The 22,115-nt window shown below is 37.4% G+C and overlaps 1 protein-coding gene across 74 annotated transcripts in view; it reads left to right on the forward strand.

Annotated features, from left to right (window-relative positions):
* The window catches only part of ARPP21 (cAMP regulated phosphoprotein 21), a 155,634-nt gene extending 135,069 nt beyond the window's left edge, over positions 1 to 20,565 (forward strand). For all 74 annotated transcript variants that reach the window (NR_170705.1, NR_169632.1, NR_169633.1 and 71 more), the window contains 2 exons: positions 18,461 to 18,609; positions 19,780 to 20,565. Coding sequence is in view for 64 of the 74 variants with exons in the window: in NM_001385489.1 (NP_001372418.1) it covers positions 18,461 to 18,609; positions 19,780 to 20,037 (407 nt within the window). In the remaining 10 variants the exon portion in view is untranslated. The remainder of the gene's footprint in view (positions 1 to 18,460; positions 18,610 to 19,779) is intronic.

A 22,115-nucleotide genomic window follows, 5' to 3' on the forward strand; every position in this document is an offset into this window, starting at 1 on the left:
ATGATTCTATCAGGAGGTACTGGGGACACATTTTAATCAGACACATTTGTAAGGCAGTGACTGTGTCCCGCTTTTGCTGTAAGTCATATTGATGGTGAGGTACTAAAGCTTCACTGCTCAGTTAAGTGTTCCTTACAAATGTAGCTATGGTAAGATAGAGATCATTTCCAAAAATGTGCTTACTGACTTGATAACAGTTTAAAAATGACTTCCTATCAGGTGCAGTGCTGTGCGCCTATAGTCCCAGCTACTCGGGAGGCTGAGGCAGGAGGATTGCTTGAGCCTAGAAGTTTGATGCCAGCCTGCGCAACATAGCAAGGCCCTTATAAGAAAATTTCCCATATGATAAAAAATGTTTTTAAAATATGGCTGAAAATATTACTATGTGAGACAAAATTTATACTTTGGGATGTCATATCAGGAAAATTTGCTTCTACATTAAATTTACAAAGACCTCTCCAAGCTGTGGGTTGTCCCTCTTGGATCAGTCTTAGATGCCTGAACTTATCTAAGTGACATTGAATTGCTCTTTATCAATGGATATGCATTCTTTGTGAATTCTTCAAGCTCTCCCTCCCTCTTCTACCCCCTTTTAAATACTTAGAATCCTTCTGGAGGAGTGTATTGAGAAGCAGACTCCGTTTGAATTGTGTTATACTTGGATGATAAAGAATGAGTTACTCATCTCTCCTGCTGAATTAAGGATTTTCAATTCTGGATTCTTGTGACTGGGTTTCTGGGCTTCCAGAAGAAACCAGAGAAATTTTATTCAAATTGCTTTTATATGTGCCTATGTACAATTAAGTAGAAAAGTGGTTCTAGAGAAATTTTCTCTGGAGAAAGTTTCAGAGAAATTTTATGCAAAATAACTTTTGTATGTGGCTAGGTACAGTTAACTAGAAAAGGGCCTCAATACTTTTATCAAATCTTTGATGTGATCCATATTTCTTTATAAATATTAAATGTCAGTGTCCTTGATCAATAATTTTTCTTAGTAGTGCCCTGTTCTTCCCATTTCAAAGATGAGTGAGAAAACTAAGCAGCAGTTCCTAAACTGAGGACTGAAGGTTTCTGGGAGTTTCTGCTGTTAAAGATAGTAAGTAAAATATGTCAATTTAAATAAGATTAATACAAATTAATATAACCATTCTATCCCACCCCACTCCCCAAAGAAAGAATTTTGGAAATGCTCTCTGAGTGACTGGTAGTAGAAATTCGATGAGGGAGCATGCCACAACTTAATCATTCATTTCTGTAGGCACTGTTTTGAACCTAATTAGATGCCAAGCTGTTTTAAATAGTTTTAATCCCTTGTCTTACACTGATTAACTTACATGCATAGTGAACAATTGGTTAAAGACAAAGAAAATGAGAAACAAATGCAATTTATCAGGAGCGCAGAATGAATCCCATTTCTCTAAGTTCATTTCAACAAAACTTTCACTGTGTTTATAAAAATGTATATGCATATGCATACACATGAAAACACAGTGTATGTGCATATGTGTGTAAATGTACATATGTGTGTGAATGTGAGTGTATATACATATGTGTGTGTATATATATGTAGTTACTGTACAATTTACCATCTGAGCCCATCCACATTTGACAGGGAAAAAGAGGGCTATTAATAAATAAACTAGAGCTATAGCCATTAACAGACATATCTGGTCATCCCATATAAAACTGGAAAATTTGTGTTTTATTAAAACAAAGTTAGGAGTCAGAAAGTTGGATTGGATTTTAATCTTCATTTTATGCAATATATTTTACAATATATATTAAATATAAGCTACTGATTAAAAATAAGCAAATAAATTCCAAAATATAGAGACAGAAAATAGTGACATTTATATCTCATTTCCTTTTTTTTGAAAGAATAAAGGCTATCTATAATCTGTAATATGTTTTTCTGTGGATAAGTGCTTGCAGTGAGCAGCATAAATGCTTTTGTCTTATTGATCAATTAGAAACAAAACACAAAGATCAAAACCAGCCAGCTGACTTTTTAAATGCATAAAGTGTAATATTTTCAAACATTGTTTGGATATTTTGTCTATTTTGGTACTTTAACATGTCTTTAATTTAATGTCCATTTTACTATTTCTTCAGTCCCTAAAGCCCAACATTTCAAAATATGTCTGTTTATAAATCATATTTTTACATAAATAGAAAATAAATAAAACACCATTTATCATTTATTAAATGGGGAAAAGTAAAATTGTTCCATGTGTGTTGAGAATGTTATTAAACATTGCATTTTAAAGAATATTAGAATATTATCAATAATATGTTAATTGAAATATTATGCTTTCTTTAAAAAAATCACTTGCTCAATCTTTTAGTGCACAAAAAATTTACAAAATGGTTACATTAGAAACACTGGGAAAGTGGAAGATTCTCTATACCTCTGCAAGGGACTCAGATGTGTTAGGTACTGAGAAGCCCTGTAATAGTCTAACAAGTTAGAAGACAAGCCCTTCATGACAGCAGCTGGCCAGGGAAAGCAGAGGAAGGGTGGGCAACATTTTGTGTCTTATCTTTGATGCAATGACACGGAGCTCCACTTAATAAGTCACCAGAAAAAGTTGGAAAGGTACCTGCTTGAATCCAGAGTGCACTCAGCACCCTTTTGCCCTAGGATGGCTTTGGGTGAAAGACAGTTCTCCTTTGATGGGGAGAAAATGTAGCCTGTTGTAGGAAGTGTAAGCATAGCTTTGATTAGGAGACAAAGGACACAGTGGAACTGAGTTTATTCCTTATATGAGGACAAGAAGGAGACCTCAATTTTCTCCGAATACTTGGTGACACATATGGAGTAGAGCTTCTAACTAAGGAATACAGCAGACTGGCTGTCCTAAAATTACAGCCCAGAAATCACTGCTCTCCCAGGGATGGGAGTCTGGGCCCAAGTGCCTTTCTAGGTGGTTCCTGCCTGGATATCTGCTTCCCAGTTAGGACCAGCTTGACCTTCCACTCCCTGCTGTATGGAGAGTTTTGCCTACCATCATTTTCAGAGCTGCTTCTGCCACTTTTGCTACTAGGGATTAAAATTTCTCTATAATCCAAAGGCAGAAAAGAGCATTCATTGCCTGACCCATGTTCTCTTCCATGTGACTAGCACATAATGGCTGTACCTCGGCTCTTGTGGAAATTTAGAGTGTGGAAGCCGTAGAAGGAGCAGTTCCAGGAATAGTGTGTGTGTGCCTTTGTTTTTGGCAGATCCATCTTGATACTACCAACACCCAGTTTGTTCTAAATCTATGGAATAATTCTGGAGAGAATGAAAATACCCCTATTTACTGAGCACCATTTAGTGGAAACTAATGGTAACTACTACACAGTAAATGCCATGTGCTGAGCAAGTCACGTTACCTGATAGCTACCTGACCTTCACAAAAGCCCTGGGAAAGTGGGAATTAACTTGCTCCCAGTTAATAAGCAAGAAAAGTGAAGCTCAGAGATATCAGGCAACTTCCCAGAGTCTCACAGAGTCAGTGGTTGGAAGAACTAGCATGGAGCTTGTGAATTTCCCATTAGAAAGCAAAAATTCCTTAGATTTAAACCAGAAAACTATTTAGTCTCATTTAAATATCACTTCATACTATTCACCTTGAAGATGATTGCTTTAAATATTTGAACAAATTATGGCTAAATGTACTAAACTTGAGACTAACTTCCAGTATAGCATTTCTAAACCAAATATGATGTCAGAATTGCAAGGACCAGTTAAGGTCATTGTAGAAATAAACTAGATCCTCCTTTTTTCTTTTTCATTTCCCTGAAATAGTCTTCACCCATTGTTATCTATTTGATCTCAGCCATCTGGTTCTGCAGCCAGAGAAGGAAAATGTCAAATTCAACAAAATGAGTAGTACTGCTTGAGATGAATCATAATTTAACTTTTTTTTTGCTCTACAAGATATTTAAACAGTAACATTGCTTAATAATACTTCCTAAGTTATTATCAATTCCCTACAAACGTTGCCATTTCATCCAAATGGAAAGGCAAGCATTAGGACTATGAGTCAAACACTCTACCCTAATATCTAATGACATATAAATTTGAGAGTTAACATTTACTTTAATTGCTGAAGCAGTCATGCTAAGTGCATCATCTGACATATTACCAGGTGTTAAAAAGGGTAATTTCTGAGGGGAAAAAAGTCTCTAAAACCAAGAGACAGTATTCCACTAAAAGCGTTGTTCATCTCTTTTAAAAAATCTTCAGTTAAATAGATTGCCTCAGTAGTTTGGGAAATGGTCCCTGACATGGAAACATATTTCTGTAATCTTTGAAGGGAAGGGGAGTGCTGGTTATTCTCTGTGTTTCCTCCCAACACATAGCCATTCTCTATCCATCTCTCCTGACCCCATGAGCTGCATCTGTCAGGTTCCTTTGCCCCCTGGTTTCCACCTGGGTTTTGCTAATGGAAGGCATCAGCTGCAAGAGATCAAAGGGCAGAGGGAGAGAGAGCAGGCAGAGGGAGAGCCAGCGAGCAGTCCTCACCGTTCCCTTTTCACCTTGGGATGCAGCTGGTTCTGGCAGGCAGCCCCTCCTCTCAGCTCTTGCTAACTGCTCCTAACACTGGTTTCTCCCCTAAGACCTACAGACAAGGGGAGAAAACAGTTCCCTACTGTTATTATGCTCTGGTGTCTTCCTCACTTGTTGATCCCTCAACTTACCTACTCCCTTTGTTAAAACCTCTTCAATTGAATCATTTCAGTGGAATTCCATTGCTTGACAGGACTCTGAGGAGATGGGGGAAAAGTCACTAAAATACCTGTGTCCTAATTCTGGCACTACTAAACTGTATGGTCTGAAACGATCTACACAATTCCTCGAGCTTCACTTTTATCTTCTATAAAGTGAGAATAATAATGATACCCACTTCACAAAGCACTGAGCCCCGTGAGTACAATAAGGTGCACCAGGAATTGTTACTATTAGTTTGAATAAAGAAAGGAGACTGCTTGCTTTCCTGTTTGAGTTAGTGTAAGTGTAATCCACTATATGGCCTCCTTGAAATTTTGTCTATTGGTAATTAACTACTAATATGTATTTCTAAACTTTGGGATAGAATGATAGAAATGAGCTGATAGTTTTAAAAGAGATGGTTTGATTCCATTTTTTACAACTCATACATTTCTTGAACCTCCAAAACTTATATTTTCTTTCTCCCTAATGGCTTACTCTGTGTTATCTTAGAAAAGTTTGTTGGTAGATACTGGGGGCAAATTAGGTAAGTCCACTTCACATATAAAAGATGTATTCTCCGGGTTCCTAGTAATGACACAATAGCAGCAGAAGTGGCACAATTGGGGGAAGAAAATGGCTTTTTCTCCCAATTATGAAGTACTTGTGGACTATTACCAACAAAACAGAACACAATTCCTCAGTGTGAGCATTCAGGAAGCAAAAATATTTATTGCAGTCTAGTCTGCCACATTTGGAGGAAGCACCGTGGCATGTATGTTGGGGAAGTTAGTTACCAAAAACTGGGATTTTGTCCCTGATTTATGAGAAATTCTGTGTGTGATCCTGAACAAGAAGCTGTCTTACTCCTCTAAACCTCAGCTGCAGCACCCAGAGTTTCTTGTGCCAGGATATCACCACATCCATTGTGCATACTCAAGATAAATGAATGTAGGCTTAGTGAGGGTCAAAAAAAAAAAGTGGGGGGCAGGTGGTGGTTAGAAAAGCAAGTAATACCACCTCAAGGAGGAGTAGGTGAGATCCAGTCTCTTGTTTGCTTTTCTTTTAGGTAAACTGTTAAAGCATATTCATAAAGGAGCAAACTCACATTTACAACCTAAAAAACATCAGGCTATAAGAATCTCATCTTGTTTTCCAAATGCCTTGCCAAGTTTGAGAATGCCAAACAGAATCTGTTTCAGATGCCTTTTTCCCTCCCTTTTCTCACTCCTCCTTTTAGTCCCTTTCCATATTCCCTCCTCCTTTCCCTTTCTGGACCTGTCATTGCCCCATGCCAAAATCAAGAAGTAGAATTTAAAAACTGTGCTGTTAGAAGGAACCTCTTTCACATCCCCTTGCCCAGAGGCAAAGGGGATAAGAGAAAGTAGTTACTGTCTGTCCAGATTTTTTTACACTATTGTGATAATGATAAATCATTCCCCCTCTGCACTGGCAAGGCTTTGGACTCTGTGTTCTGTATACGTTGCCTCTTCATCATTTTCTTCAAGTTTTTATTTGCTAGCTTTTTTTCTACCTATGTGCCATTGCAAGATACTTATGGAGTGGCTGGAATAGGACAGTTTCTTTATCAGCATCATCAATGAATGTTCTTGAGGCACTGCATGTGAAATACAGGGCTAAGCAAACATGTTTAAGATATGCTTCTTTTCCTAGAGGATTGCAATCTACCTAAGAAGCAGGAGCTAAATAAGTAATAAAATGCAATTCAAAGTCATAAAAGTGGGGAGTGCAAAGAATGAGGAATGGGCAGTTGCATATATTGGTTATTGCCAGAGGCTGAACCACTGGTGTATGTCCTACAAGAGAGATATTAGCCTATCCTGACACCTTTTGATGAAAATATTGTGCCCATTTTACAGATAAGAACAATGAACTAAGAGAGTAGAGATGGCCTCCCCCGCAGTGTAATTTGCCAGATCCCACTACTTACTCTGTGAGGGAAAAAAAATAATGAGTGGGCTAAACAATAGGAATTCAAGGTAATGTGTTTGAAAGCCAAGGCCCAACAGAGATTCTCGAAGTGTGGTACCCAGACAAGAAGCATCAGCATCACCTGGGAACCTGTCAGAAATGCATATGTTTGAGCCGCAACCGAAACCTGCTCAATCAGAATCTAAGCGTCTGGGCATTAAGGCTTAGCAATTCGTATTTTAATAGGGCCCCAGAGGTTATCTGGAGGCAGGCTAAAGTTGAGAATCATTGACCCAGGAACAACGTATTTCAGCTGGATGGGGAAGCAGGCAATCAGAGACAGAGGCGAGATGGTGAGGCTGGGTTGAGTGGCAAGCAGTGATAATCCAAAGCTCTGAGATGGCAGCCTGCAGACCTGGCTGGGTGTGAATGGGCCTACTATAGCACCCCTCAGTGAGTAGCCTGGTGTCCTGCTGAGGATAAAATGTGAGGACTGTTCCCAGCTTTCTTAGACCACGTGGTCCTGCTATGTCATTACTCTGAAGACAGGGATCCCTCTGCCTGAGAATTTAGATAGCTGGTTGTCCCTTGTGAGGGAGCTCCTCTGCAGCCTCAAGGGAACTTCAAGAAAAGAGGTTTATGACCACTTAAAAATACTCATGGCTTCATTTGGATGCTTATAAAGCACTTTTAATCATGATGAAATGCAAGTATTGCCTTTGAATGCCTTGAGTTGAAGGGAAAAGTTAACGAGTGAATGATTTGAATCATTTCTCTTCTTAGCCTGGAGCAAGCCATTAAAAGAATGAAACTTCTAGTCAAGATGGAAACAGCCTGCCCCAAAGGGATGATTGAAAGAGTCTTCAGGACAGGCATTTGTCCTTTAGTTTTATTTTCACTTTAATTATTATAAAATCTGATTTAAGTGTTGACCATAGCCTCCAGTTCCAGCCAGCTGAAAAGATAAGCACATTTGTATTTGTGTGGACAAGTCTGCAGACTTCTTATTGTTGTCTCAAGCCAGACAATACAACCCTTTTAAATAACAGTTCCTCATAAGGTGAGATTAAAGATATTTCTTCTTGCTGTTACCAAGGAAAATCATGATCTAGTTGATTATGTACATGAAAAGAAAGTATCTCTTGGCTATTGCTTGGGGTTGTGACATCATCTGGTGTCCACTATCTTTACTTTGGGTAAATCATTGCTGTAATATTGATGAAATTACAAAATAATGGAGAATCAGAGGTCATGTTCCCCAACTCTAACTATAATGAAAACTTTAAAAATGTTTAGTCCCAAATTCTCCTTGGAAAACATTGGTTACAGGTAAAATACATAAATTTATATCAAACTTAGTTGTGTTGTTGTTGTTTTCAATGAGCTATACATTAGATAACCTAGAACTAATCAATTGCTGTTGAGCTGTAATGAAATGTAAACAAGTGGACCTTGTATTTTTTATGGCATTCTGAAATTTAAATCTAACTGATTGTAGCTAACTGAACCTTAAGGAAAAATCAGAGGAAACTTGATCCTGAAAACATTAGCACTTAGCATTTTGTACGTACATATGCTCAAATATGTATCCATGGTATGGCAAAAAAATATCTTACTGAAGCCTGTTTCAGTTTCTTCATGGAAATTTCAGTTGATTGTCCATTTTAGTAAATAATATAGAGCATGTTATTCCTATCAACCGATCCTGTCAATTAATTTAGTTTGCAGTGGAGAGTTTGTGGGACCATGGACTTCTCCTTGATCTTTAACCAAGTCTTCCCTGGGTTATTGCAATTCCATGTGGATCAAACAACACTAATCATGTTCATAAAATAAATAAGCACATATTTCCTTCAGGTTCTTCTCAGAAGTTATCTTGGGTAGCTTCTGTTGTCTTCCCAGAATGATGTGACAGCATTTGGTTGTAACTCCTAATAAGCTCTCTGACCTGTCTTGTATCCTCAAGAGGAAAAACCCCAGGACACTTTGCTGCTGGATCAAATAAAGTAAATAGTAGTAGTAGGTGACATGGAGAGCTACTAGATGATTCAGAGGGAAAGTTAAACTCTCTGTCACCCAAATCCCAGCCTTCTTGGTTGTATGCAACCGTTGATGTTGAATGTGCTATGAATTATGACAGGTTTATAGATTTTCTTACTCTTTCCCAGGTTTTTCATTATTTTAATCTCTCCTTTTAAAATATACTAATTCTTACATTTATACCATGTTAAAACAGCAAGAAAAACAAAACTATAAAATCCCATCAACCCTATGCCTCCCTCTGGCTCTCTGCTCCTTTCTCTGCCCAGCATGGTGCTTCACTGCCAGGCTTCTCAAGCTTCTCAAAGGAATTCTTTTTCTTCCTGTCTGGCTGATGTACCCATCACTAGCCTTGCTTTTATTGAGGTCACCGGTTTGTTTGTTTTTTTAACCTAGGGTCTGCTGTCTTTTCTTCCTTGGCAGTTCTGCAACTGTGGTCATTGTCACATTTTTCTTTCTTGAAACACTCCCCTACTTCTTACTTGATACCATTCTCTTCTGGTTCTTCTCATTTTCCTACTACTCCTCATTCCCCATCCAGGTTTTATTTTCTCAGCCCAGTATTTGAATATGATTGTGCCTTACAACTCCATTTTGATAGTCTTCTCAATTGGTACCCACTCATAAATATATTGTCTTTAGAGCAACTATGTCCTGATAACTTCCAAATTTATGCCTTTAAGACAGGCTGTTTGTCTGAGCCCCAAACCCCAGACTTTTTGCTCATGTGTTTACCGATCATCTCTATATACTTGTTCTTTCTGTATTTATAGCTAAGGCACTGCATTCCACTTCCTTACCCAAACTTGAACCTGGAATTTATTCTTGTGTTTTTTTTTTAATTTCTTTCACCCCCTCCTTGCCGCTCATAGATGCCAGTTTCTGACAGTTCACATCCTACATCTATCTCTCTCTCTGATGTGTCTCTTTTCTCTGTTGCTGCCACCCTTTTCTTAACTTCATGTCTTCATCATCTCTGCCCTGGATTATTGCTTTTGCTTTCCAGTAGACTTTCTACTTCCAGTTATACAACCCCACATTGTCTCATGGAGAAGTTTTATGAAATGGCTGTTGATCATTTCATTGCTCTGCTTATAAACCTTATATTGCACCTTAAGTCTTTCAGCATTAAATTCCAGTTTTATAGCACGCTTTTCAAGACTCTAGGATTTGAGCCTAGCTCCATTTCTATCCTCTACTTCCTCTGCCTGTTTCTAACCTATTGCTATGCCTGTATATTTACAATTCTCGAATGCATTTTTTTGTATCTTTGCCCTTTGCACATGCTGATCCTTATGTTTATGCCTCTTTTATTCTGATTATTTCCACATTGCCCTACCCCATTAGCAAATATCTGCTCATCTAATACTAGGTTCAATATGACCTCCTGGAAGCTTTCCACTGCATGCTTCTCATATCCCTACACACAATAGAAGTAAGTACTCTTTCTTCAGTGATTCTAGAGTTGGAGACAGGTGCCTATCCAAGTGTACTGCAAGATTCTGTTTATGGCCTGTCTCCACCATTTGTGTAAGCTCTGTAAATGGCTTTTATGGTCATTTTTATACCAAGTGGCAAGAAGAAATAGTCAATAACATTGTGGAAAAAAGAATCAAAGCAACAAAAATGTACATGAACTGAAAATATGATTGCTTGACATTGAATATTAGGTCATTAGCATGCCAGAGCTATCTCATGCTGGCTCACAAGAGCCAAATGTTTAAAAACCAGGAATCTTGCCAGCTAGTTGTTAAGCCCTTTGAGGCTTGAAAGTAGGCATGGTGGGAATATTTACACTAGGGAAATCAGCAAACACCACAAATCAGCGCTTTTGTTTTTCAGAGAGACAGTTTTCCAGCAGACTACTGATATTCATGATTACAGTGCAGTCAGTTAATTCATGCTATGTCCATCAACCATGTGATAGCACCAGAAATCATAGACTCATGTTCTGAAAGTTCATATCCTAAATAACTCTCTGTGCCTCTTCTTTCCATTCCTATACCACCTTGCCTTAGTTCCTGTCTTCGTTGTCTTTGCCCTAGAAAACTACTGTTGCCTCCCAGTAGATGGTACCACCAGAACAATATTATTGTTAAACCTACCACTAGAACAATCTTTGAGCAAGAGTCCTGCCAGTCTGGAATCGAAGAAGTTAGTTATCGTTGACTCCTTGGGAATAATAATGTATAATGCTTTATTATATAAAGAGGGCACTTTTAATTTATCATCAGTTGCTTATGAAATAATTTCTTTTTTTTTTTCAGTTGCAGTGACAGGTGGATTTCTACAGACTGAATCTGTGGCCATAGTACTTATTTCAAGATAATTGGCCAAGGCTAGGTTACATCCTGTAGCCATGCAACAGTGACAGTAATTTGATCACAATAATGCTGACCCCATGACTTTTGACTTCATAATTATCTTGCTGTAGTCAGCTGGCCAACAGCACTTCATCAATGAAAATATCCACCAGGAGGAATATTATCATGGGGACAGTTATTAGAGCCACCTCCATTTTGACTTTGCCCCAAGCTTGGTCTGGGGAAAAAGCTTCTTAAAGTTGCCTCAGCAGTAGTTTGCTGCCTCCCAGCCTGGTTTTAAGTATATCCATAATTAACACGACGGGTAGAGGTGCAAGAATGCCACATTTTCTTCTAAGCCATGCAACCTCATTAAGAAAGTAAAACGTTTGTGAGTCTTTCATGCGGTCTTTCTCCCTCTGGGTTGTTGAAGCTCTCTGGATGTCAGCACAGCACTATGGGCCAGGAAAGTTCAGAGAATTACTTCAATAATATGACAGCCTCTTCCATTTAAAATGGAATTCAATGCTGGCTTCCCTTGGAGGCATTCATTGAAATTCCGTGCATGATCCATTCCTCTAGTCATTTAACAATGTGTCTCATGTTTGCCCTGATTTAAAGAAAGAAAGAAAGAAAGAAAGAAAGAAAACCAGCTTTGTATTTGTGATAACATGGATCAGGATAGTATAATTGCAGTGAAGAGGCCCCTGAGCCTGCAGTAATAGGATGGTTCATCTGATGTGTACTGCCATTAGAAAATGACCCATGCATGAATGTTCTCAGGGGACAGTAAAGAGGCTTTTAAGAATTACATTCTGTGTAGTATGAAAGCTAATGAGCAAAAGAGGAAGTACGAAGAAAAACTACTGCTTCAGGAAGCATGGTTCCACTTAGGTAGGGCCTGTCACAGCTCCCCTCAAATTCATTTGGATAGACAGGCCATTACTAGGATGACTACTATATTACCCCCATGCCCATGCACACTCCCTGCAGGTCATCCTGTACCAAGTTCCTAAGGAATTAAAACCAGCGAGTAATAAATGGTGAGGAAAAGAAAGAGGATGGATACAGCAACTGCCAATAAATAAGTTAAAAAAAGACATTTACGTCAAAGATGAAAGAAGTCGTAATGAACTTCAACAGCAAAAAAGAAAGTTAAAGGGAAAAAAGCAATTTCTGGTACATCCTCTTTCCACGTTATGCTATTTTACTTCATATATAAGAACAGAACAGTACCTAATTATGATTTCAAGTATATATATTTTAACCGTATCTTAATTTGTAAACATGTTTAAAAATAATGTCTCCAGTCTAGTCTATACTGCTTTCTTGTTTTAAAGGTTTTACTTGGCCGGGCGTGGTGGTTCACGCCTGTAATCCCGGCACTTTGGGAGGCCAAGACAGGCAGATCATGAGGTCAAGAGATCGAGACCATCCTGGCCAACATGGTGAAACTCCATCTCTACTAAAAATACAAAAATTAGCTGGGTGTGGTGGTGCGTGCCTGTTTTCCCAGCTACTTAGGAGGCTGAGGCAGGAGGAGGAGAATCATTTGAACCCAGGAGGCAGGGGTTGCAGTGAACTGAGATTGCACCACTGCACTCCAGCCTGACGACGGAGTGAGATTTCATCTCAAAAAAAAAAAAAAAAGTTCTACTTAGGGTTTTAGATTACATAAATTGGGAGGTTGGCATATAGGCAAAAGAAAGAGTCACACCTTGTTTATCAAAGTTAACAAACTTTGACAAACCAAGTGGTTTGTCAAACCACGTTTACATTGTCATTCCTTGGATTTATCTCCTGGGAGTTGAATTAGAGTAAGATAGAGGCTATAAAGGCCAGTAAAATCGATGCCTTCCTTGTGCCCGAGGACCCCTGGTTCTGATAGGCTTCATTGTGAGTGAAACTGTGGAGGCTGTCTTCTGCTTTACGTGAGGGAGAAGTTGGAGGCAGGAACATCCATGACCCCAAAATTCACCTCTCTGAGGCATAAGGCAGTGACTCCTCTTTCACCAAACCATAGTGATACTAAAATATCAAGCTGTGTGTCTGTTTTCTCCACCTAAGGCTACTGTGAACACCACAGTGCTATCAATAGATGAAGCTAGAAAATATTTCTGTCTTAAAGGTGATGTGCCCCAGTAATGAAGTGAGACAGGAAAAAAATCCATAGTGTTCACAGAATTAGAAAGCAGACTGACAGTAGTCTATGAATTCCAAAATTAGAAGTGGCCTGAGAGGTCTTTATTTCTCCAGGCCTTCATCTGATGTCCCAGGTTGTTTGGCAGAGTCCCTGTGTATCTTCTTTTTTTATAACCTAATTTTATCTTTCAAATAATATAAATGCTATTCTTGTTTCTAAAGGCCAAGTTACTTTCCCAGAGGCAGCCAGTAGCCTGGAACAGTCAAATCATTGAATTGATCTTATATTTAAGCAGAATTAAGCTATTTGCACATTTCAAGATTTTAAGATTATTTCGAGAAAACAAACCAGAATAAATATAGTCTCTTCAAAGATTGTGAGGAAAGCCATTATTTGAAATGGTCCTAGTAATTAAAAGCTATAGTATCACTGATTAGAAATGAAGTAAATGAAGGGACAAGAGTCTGTTTGAATAGCCTCACCCATACCTCACCCCTCAACTGTCTTCCTGGTGTTTCGCTCTCTAAGTAACATGTCTTCAAACTGTTAATGAGTGATATGAGTTGATTCTGATAGGCAGTCATGTTTTACATTTAATTTCTCTTGTTTTTCTTTATTTGATATTAATAAAGTCTTGTTCAGCAAACTGTGGAGCATAATTCTTATCTTTTTTACTTAATTGTTTTAAATATTGAGAAAACAATTAACATAATAAGCAGTCATTGAATACTTGCCACATAAAAGGGATGATGTGAGGGCTATGAGAACTAGAAGAATGTATAAATAAATGGTACTACAATTTAGCACAGAAAAGCAAGGATGCCAAAGTCAGAAAACCACAATTTAAATTTTAGCTACAATTCCTCGTAATAGCTCTGTGACCTTGACAAGTTACTATATCCTCCTAAGTCACAGTTTTCTCTTCTGCAAATGGAGTTTAGTAATATTGACTGCCTCCTAAGATTGTCATAACAAGAGCTTAATTCACTGTTTGGCTTAGAGTAAGTGATCAACAAATATAGCTAGTTTATAATGGAAAATCCTCAAAGAAGATAAAGTACAGAAGAATTGACAGGGAGCCAAGAAAACAGAACCAGGCAGATACTGTAAAGTGGCAAAATGCAAAAATTGTAAAACTGCAGCTAAAGACAGGGCTTTTCTGGATAAGCAATTTTCTTCTTCATATTCTTCACCAGCTATACTATTAAGCTAAGCTACTGTAATTCTACCTCACACCGTGTACAAAGAGCAGAGTTTGATTCAGAATCAGGGCTCTTGCTGGTTCCTTTGAAATTTGGAGAAATATTCGTATCTTGTCTTCAAGAGAAGTAATTTTTATATGAAGCAGCTTGCTAACTCTAATCATTTGAAAAGACATTCTACCATATTAAGATTACTTCCCTTAATAGACACATGTATATCACACTGCTTGGGTGGACTGGGAGAGGCTGTGAGAATTGGCCAGCTTCTGAAGAAATGTGCTTGGTATAGAAATTTGCTGTCTTCAGTATACCGCCTTCCCTGTTTCAACCTCCATAATTAACAGCAGGCATACTAGAAATGCAGAAATAGAGATTACTATTTTGTCTGTCATTTCATTCATTTCCAAAATATTGAAACTGTAACAAACTACTCAAATAAGAGTTAAAATAATATCAGTCACAACCATGCCAATCTACAATCCCTAATCAATTTACATTCTAATTGTTCATAATTGTGCTACATGAAGATAAATGTTTTCTTGACTGAATATTAACCAAATGCCCTCAAACTACAAATAGTATGCAACTGTTGTATTTTAGTAGAAAACCTATTCCATTTTCAGATTGATACAATGCAGACATTTTAAATCTTATAAACTCCTCGATCTTTGCCAAGTGCGTTCTTTTATTTGCTAGGAGGCATTTGTCCATTCCTAACCTTTTTACCTCCAGAAAATAAATGACACATGTGACTTGAAAATTGAATCGATCTTGACTGAAAAAGAAATAATAAAAATAGCTAATGTCTTTATCATCTCTGTAGCAAGCCTACAGGGCAGATACTGTTGCTGCTTCAGTTTTGCAAGATGCATTATATCTTGCTAATCCTCAATAAATATGAAAAAGTGATAATTTCACAGCTAAGAATTGACAAACTGGAACACATTTCTCATTTGAATAGACAAGATAAGCAGTTCTCACCAGTGCTGCCATCTCTGCCTTCGGGTGTGTTGTGTCCCAGGCAGGCACTGTCGGTTCATTCATAGGTCACTGCTATTTTATTTCTGTTTGTCTATTTCTGGACCAGAACTCAGATTCACATCCAGACAGCTGCCTGTCTTAAAGACCATTCTGCTCTACCTTCTGTGACATAATTTAAAGAAATGAGTAGCCCCAATTAAACCATTGCAGGTGTAAATTTCTTGCCTGGAGAGAGAATTGAGAAATGAATGGGATTCATGAATATAAATTGGGCTCTCCTTACACTAAAGTTTTCATTTTGAAATGGTAGAGTATTCACTCCCCACATAAATCTGTATTTGCCTTAAGTGTGTTTACCATGGGAACCCCAGTGTAAAGCTCGTAGCCCATTGCTATGCATAACTGAATATTAAAGTTCACAAATCATTAGGCAGAGGAGGCCTGGAGAAGGAGATGCTGTGGCAGGGCAGCTGCATCTGGGCTGGCAGCAAAGACGAATTCTGCTCTCACAGGCTCTGCACCTTTACTAGGATGGGGCCACCCAACCTGCCCACTCTTTTTCTCTTCTTAAATATTATTTAATATTAAGGATTGCTTCTTCTTCCAACCAAGACATTCTGCTTTCTGAATGTCTTAACAGCTCTATTATTTTCCCTTCACCCAATTTTGGTTTAGAAGATGGTGTGTTAAGTGAATCTCTTATAGGCCACCTAATTTATTTTCAAACAAATGCCTCTGTGAAAGGATGGAAGGATTCAATAAGGAAATACGTAAATAATCTTCAGACGCTAAGCAACCCGCTTCTCTTTCCCCCACTTCCCTCTTTTCCTTCCCTCCTTTCCTCTCCATCTTTTTTGTTGTTGTTTGTTTACATTGTAACTGTATATATTCTGTGAAGATCCATTGAGGCCAATTGGCCTTTCAGTGTATAAACAAATATAATCCAAAGTACTAAATGGCACTCCTCTCATTTTCAACTTGTGCTTTCAATCTTCAGCCAGAAGTAAGGCCTTATTATATTCACAATTATATGGACTTGAGAATGAGTGTACATTGCCTGCTCTTTGCTGTAGAACTAAATCAGAAGGAAATCTGTTGGTTATAAGTTTTCTATGATCATCCCAAGTTATTTTCTTATGTATATAATAATTCATGCTACAAAGAGCTTGGTGTGGTTTGGAACAATGTCATAATAAAATGGTAAAATAGCCACAGAATTTTTCAGGGCAATTGGATGTATGAATCACAATGGGAGACCTAGACAATGAAAAACAATCGGAAACAATTTTCTGCAATTAATGTGAAAATAATTTTCTCTCAAGTCTCTCTGCAAATGAGAACAGAGAAGTAGAAGTAGTGAAAATGGTAATATGGGATTAATCACATTTCTTGTTCCCAGGTCTGATGGTTTTTCCTTATTGTATAAACTTCAAACACTGTAGGTATGCAGAACTCTGAGCTGATCTTGTTATTCTTAAATAGACCTGCCAAGCATATTAAAGGAAGGTTCTGACTGTCTGCTGTGGACAGAATGTAGCTCAAGGAAATGTGGTTATTACCCTTAATTATATTCGTAATATGTGGTGTCTTTACAATAATTTAAAATAATTCAGTAAATTGAAACCACTATGAAGATAATTTAGGGTAATAAGAATGTAAAACAATGGGACACATAAGGAAGGTCAAAGGGTAGCTTTTTAGATTACACACTGGTTCCACTTGCCAATTGTAGGCATAGGGCAGACCTCTCAAATTGGCCTTTTCCCAAGCTTGCTCTCCAATTCTCCAAACTGAGGACACCTTGCTTCTATCTCATTTGATGAACTGAGCCAATCTCCTAATTCAGTGACTATTTGCAAGCCAAATTTTCATAATATTTCTGAAATGAATGAAGATACATTTTGTATATCCAAGGATAGTTAAGTATTTTCTTTTATAAAGACTATAATATAATGTGGTCCTTCTTTAATATAAAGACTCTCAGAGGCACTCAATATATAGATTACTTATGAATGATGCATGTTGATTAGCTAGTTTTTAACTTTTGGTTTCAATTTTTAAAATCCGATTGTGAAAGTTAGTTCATATTTGTGTTAAGAAAATCTAGGATTTTAAAGATTCTTTTCTCTCAGAGAATTGTATTAAGATAGCAGTTCCACTTACTCTTAGGTGCTCTACATGGTTAATAATATGAGCTCTGGAAGGAGCTTATTATACAGCATAAAATGAATGTCTTTCATTTCTCTACCACTGTGTCATTTTCACCTAAATCATAACTTTCTTCCCAACATTTATAAGAACAATCGACAGGCTTCCTTTATAAGGATGCATTTTAAACCACTCATTGAAGTGAGGATTTAAATAACTAGAATAAATCAATTCTGGCCTACCTAAAAAAATAAAAAAAGACAAATGAAGGCTAACAAACTGACCCACCCAGAAAGACATGAACAGATAAATTTTTGAATATTGTATTCTTTATTATCTATTATATGTATTAATACTTGGTCACATATTGGAGTATTTTACCAAAAAATTCTCTCAGAAGCTAGTGGTGAAACAGAAGAAAAGCATCACATGCGTCCCACTTGCTGTTGCCTTTTTGTCTAAGGCAGTGGTTATCGTGAATTCCTCAGGGTAGCAAGTCATTTGGTTCACTAGGACATAAAAAAATAGAATTTATCCAAAGTTAATGGGCTGTTTGGTGGTCTCTATGTGTGAAATGAGATTGTCCAGGAGAAGAGGATAGTCAGGGAATGAGTCAATTTAATTTTAAAATAACTTGATAATCTGTGAATTCTCCAAATATCCTCAAAACCAAAGAAAAAGCCAAATATGAAAGGTGTAATTTATAGTAGTCAATTGGTATCAATAGAGTCTTCTGTTTTTGTGCCATGAATAATTTATCATTGTCACATGTATTCAATAGACCATTCTGCATAACAATAGAAATGTCAGTGAATTTTTAAAGCCATAATCTTGTTCACTCTTAGAAGTAAAAAAAAGAGAAAATGCATTCTTAGGGAATAAACATCTGATAACACATTCTGAATGTGGAGACTGAGATGTCTGAAGGCTGCCTTTTGAACCAGTAGTTTTACCCCATGAAACATCACTGTGTTCTTTCTGCACAACCAGTTCAAAAGATCTCTTTTCTTCGCAGGTTACCAGCCAGTCTTGTCTGGTCAACAGGGATTCCAAGGCCTAATAGGAGTGCAGCAGCCACCTCAGAGTCAGAACGTGATAAATAACCAACAAGGAACTCCGGTGCAAAGCGTGATGGTTTCCTACCCAACAATGTCTTCTTATCAGGTGCTCATAAGCAGCTTGGAAAATTGTGGGTTTTAAAGTAGAATTTGCCAAAGTGGAAGCTGTGGGTCTGTCCCTGGTTTGGGTGGCTGGCTGGGTAATGCGTGCTTGGTCCATAACTGTTGATAATTTACTTTGAATCAAGATTATAATAGAAAAGTAGAAAATGCAAAATACATGCTTCTGTCACTACTGTGGCTTTTGAATGCTCTCCTAAGTTTATTTCCATATAACTTCATATTCATGGAAGAAAATACATTAGTCTACAGTTTTATTCATAAAGACCTTTGGAAATTTTATTGCATTTTGCTTATTGGTAGAAAGTCCTCATGACAAATTCCCATTCATTTTTGTACACACCCAAATAAACTTCATTTTTCCATAACTTTAAGTTATAAGAGATTTTAATATGGCATCTCAGATTCATTTAAAGGGCATTTCTGGAGCCTAGCAACTACATTCTCTGGACTAAACCCAAGTTAAGTATTTTAAAAGTGTTATGTATCCTTTTGTGATGTATATTCTAAAATACCCCAGAAGTAGAAATAAAGAGTTAGTGAAATGGTATAATAATTAAATTTAACTGTACCAGGTGCTTCTGACCCTAAAGGACCTATTCTAGGGCCCCTACCCTACTATTCTGATTCACATTGCATCAACTTCTACCTCCACCTCCACAATAAGTGTTCTCTAAAGTTGCAGGTTGAGAATATAGTAGGTGCCCAGGACAAAAGCCCTTTTCACTGTGGAGGACTCCAGGCCACTTTGCATAAAATCAGAAAGGGAACATGGCTTTTCAAACTGAGAGAAACCCAGAGTGGAAGATCTAGACTATAGTTTCTAGAGGTCATTGAGAGAGAAGGGAAGGAAACTCAGAACTAACACCTTCTCAGCATCTACTGCATTCCAGGCAGTGTGCCAGGCACTGTACACCATCCCTTCAATCCTTTCAATGGTACTTTGAAGCATGTATGTCATTATCGCAATGGACTAGGGAATTAGAGAGGTTAAGTGACTTTCCTAATGTGAAACAGCCGATAAATGGCAGAGCTGGAATTGATGACCTGTTAGGTCTAACTCAAAAGTTTGAATATTTTTCATGACACCATGTTGTTTATTGTACAGACCAAAATAGTCTCTTCATACAGGGTTCTTGCTTGTGTCTTTTTACAGGTGCCAATGACCCAGGGTTCTCAAGGACTGCCCCAGCAGTCATACCAACAGCCAATCATGCTACCTAACCAGGCAGGTCAAGGGTCACTCCCAGCCACTGGAATGCCTGTTTACTGTAATGTCACACCGCCCACCCCTCAGAACAACCTTAGGCTGATTGGCCCACACTGCCCCTCCAGCACTGTCCCAGTGATGTCAGCTAGCTGCAGAACAAACTGTGCAAGTATGAGCAATGCTGGTTGGCAGGTCAAATTCTGAGAGCTCTGGCTGTGGTACATTTCTTCAGATATTTCTCATGGCCTTTGATGGAAGAGGAACAAGGTGGGAAAACTGGCTGAGGACTTAAGTATTCACTCAACACTCAAATGATTGCTGCTGGTATTCTGTAAAAAATAAACAAAGACTAATATACACGTTAGCTGGTTAATGGTGCATATTTCTGTCATGTCTGCTAGGTATGCCTTTATAGCTTAGCTAGTGACATGAATTCATCAAGGTAAGATTTTCTCCTACCACTGAATACCACTGTGTAGATTATAATATCCCTAATTTGGATTAGTTTTGTACTTTGTGTTGAGTTTGTGATGCTAAAAGTATTTAAAAATTATATACTAAATCACATTGTACCAAAGCTGTAATGGAAAAGCAAAGAAGAATTGATGAATTGAAGGAATAATTTATATACATTATAGAGTTTTCTTTTTTAATGGATATATACTGTATTGTAGTGTTTAATCAAAATAAAACTATTTGACCTTATGGAGGAAGGTCATGTTTTTACCACCAGTTTGGTTCACTATGTCTTCCAATGTGTGTTTTCTTATGTGTCACTGTATTCCCTTCAAACACTATTTCATGAATACCACATGGAAAAGGTATTTCAGGCATTTATAAGTAAACTGCCATCACATGGGAATATGCCGTAGCAAAGACTTAACGAACTGTAGTTTATTGTCATAATACTAAAGGGTCCTGAAAATAAGATGGCATCCATTTGATTCATTCATGGAGTTTGCAGTTTTAAAATATATACCTTCCTATTAATTATAGGACTATTAAAAGTATGTAGTTATACTTCACCAACTAGGAAAACCTGCATGTCATCATTAACAGCAGCCATATACCAAACCCTGTTCTACCTTCATGTGAGTTTCATTATGTACCTGAAAACAAGGTAACTTTGTTTAGAGGAAAATCAGAAGAGGCATGGTCTAATCCTGCCTGTTTTATTGGGTCATAGAATGGAAAGTGCCACTAGTATTGACAGTGAGTCAGTAATTCAAAAGTGCTAATGTTTGTCCCAGTAATTTAAAACAAAGTAAATATAGCAATGATTTAATTGCAAAGATCTAGAACATTGGCAATTCCATTTAGATGAAGCCCATGTCTACCTAATGTCTCTCTGAGAAATAACAGAGCTGTGAACTCTGAGGTTTGGCCCTCCTGGAAGATATTAATGGGGAAATAAAACCCCTGTGTTTTCACTTTAATATCACAGTACAATGACTAATAGTTTTGTATTTTATATTTTCTATCTAAAAACCATGATTACCAATGAGAGGAATATAGGGAGTATATCTGGATAATTTCTATTGTTTTTCATATTATCACATTCTATGTTAGATTTGCTGTTTTTATGTTGTTCAGCTGTGGGTAGAGTTAAGCAGCCGGTTAAAAACTCTATCTAGCAGATTACCATTACTTCATTCTATACTATTGTTTTCTTTTTCCTTTGAAAGGGAACTCTTACATATACTCTAATTGGCTTTATTCCTTATGAAGTCTGTTCCATTTTTTTCAGATTTCAGTCTACTAGTATTTCCGTGGTCTACTCTGACCATGAAAAGTGTTGTAACAAAAGGATGTTGCATTTTTTTCTTATCGAGCCATTAGCTACTCTGAAAAAAGCACTGTGTTTGCTTAATTAATACCTTCCCCTAATGGAAATATGGGATTGGCAAATATTCTCCATTTAGCTTTCTGATGTTGGCAGTTATCCTAAATTTAAGAATCCAAATATGAGCCTGAATATTTATTTTTTCCATAAAATTTTGCAAACTTTTGACATTTTCTTTCAAGATCTTTAGAATTACTGAGGCTTCTTTTCTATGGATTTGAAATATATGGTATGTTAGTGGTAAAGACAGGGCTTTACACCTAAAGAAATTTCATTTGACCACTTTTCTCCAAAGATGTAGCAGTATCTCATGTTTAGACATTTGATATTTATTGTATAAATCCATTTGGATATTGTTGCAGGCCAAACCTTCTTTCCTACTTTCACAAAATACTCCTATACATCTGTCTTAGTCCATTTTTGTAGCTATAACAGAATA

The sequence above is a fragment of the Homo sapiens genome, chromosome 3 (assembly GCF_000001405.40).
Source record: "Homo sapiens chromosome 3, GRCh38.p14 Primary Assembly".
Lineage (NCBI taxonomy): Eukaryota > Metazoa > Chordata > Mammalia > Primates > Hominidae > Homo > Homo sapiens.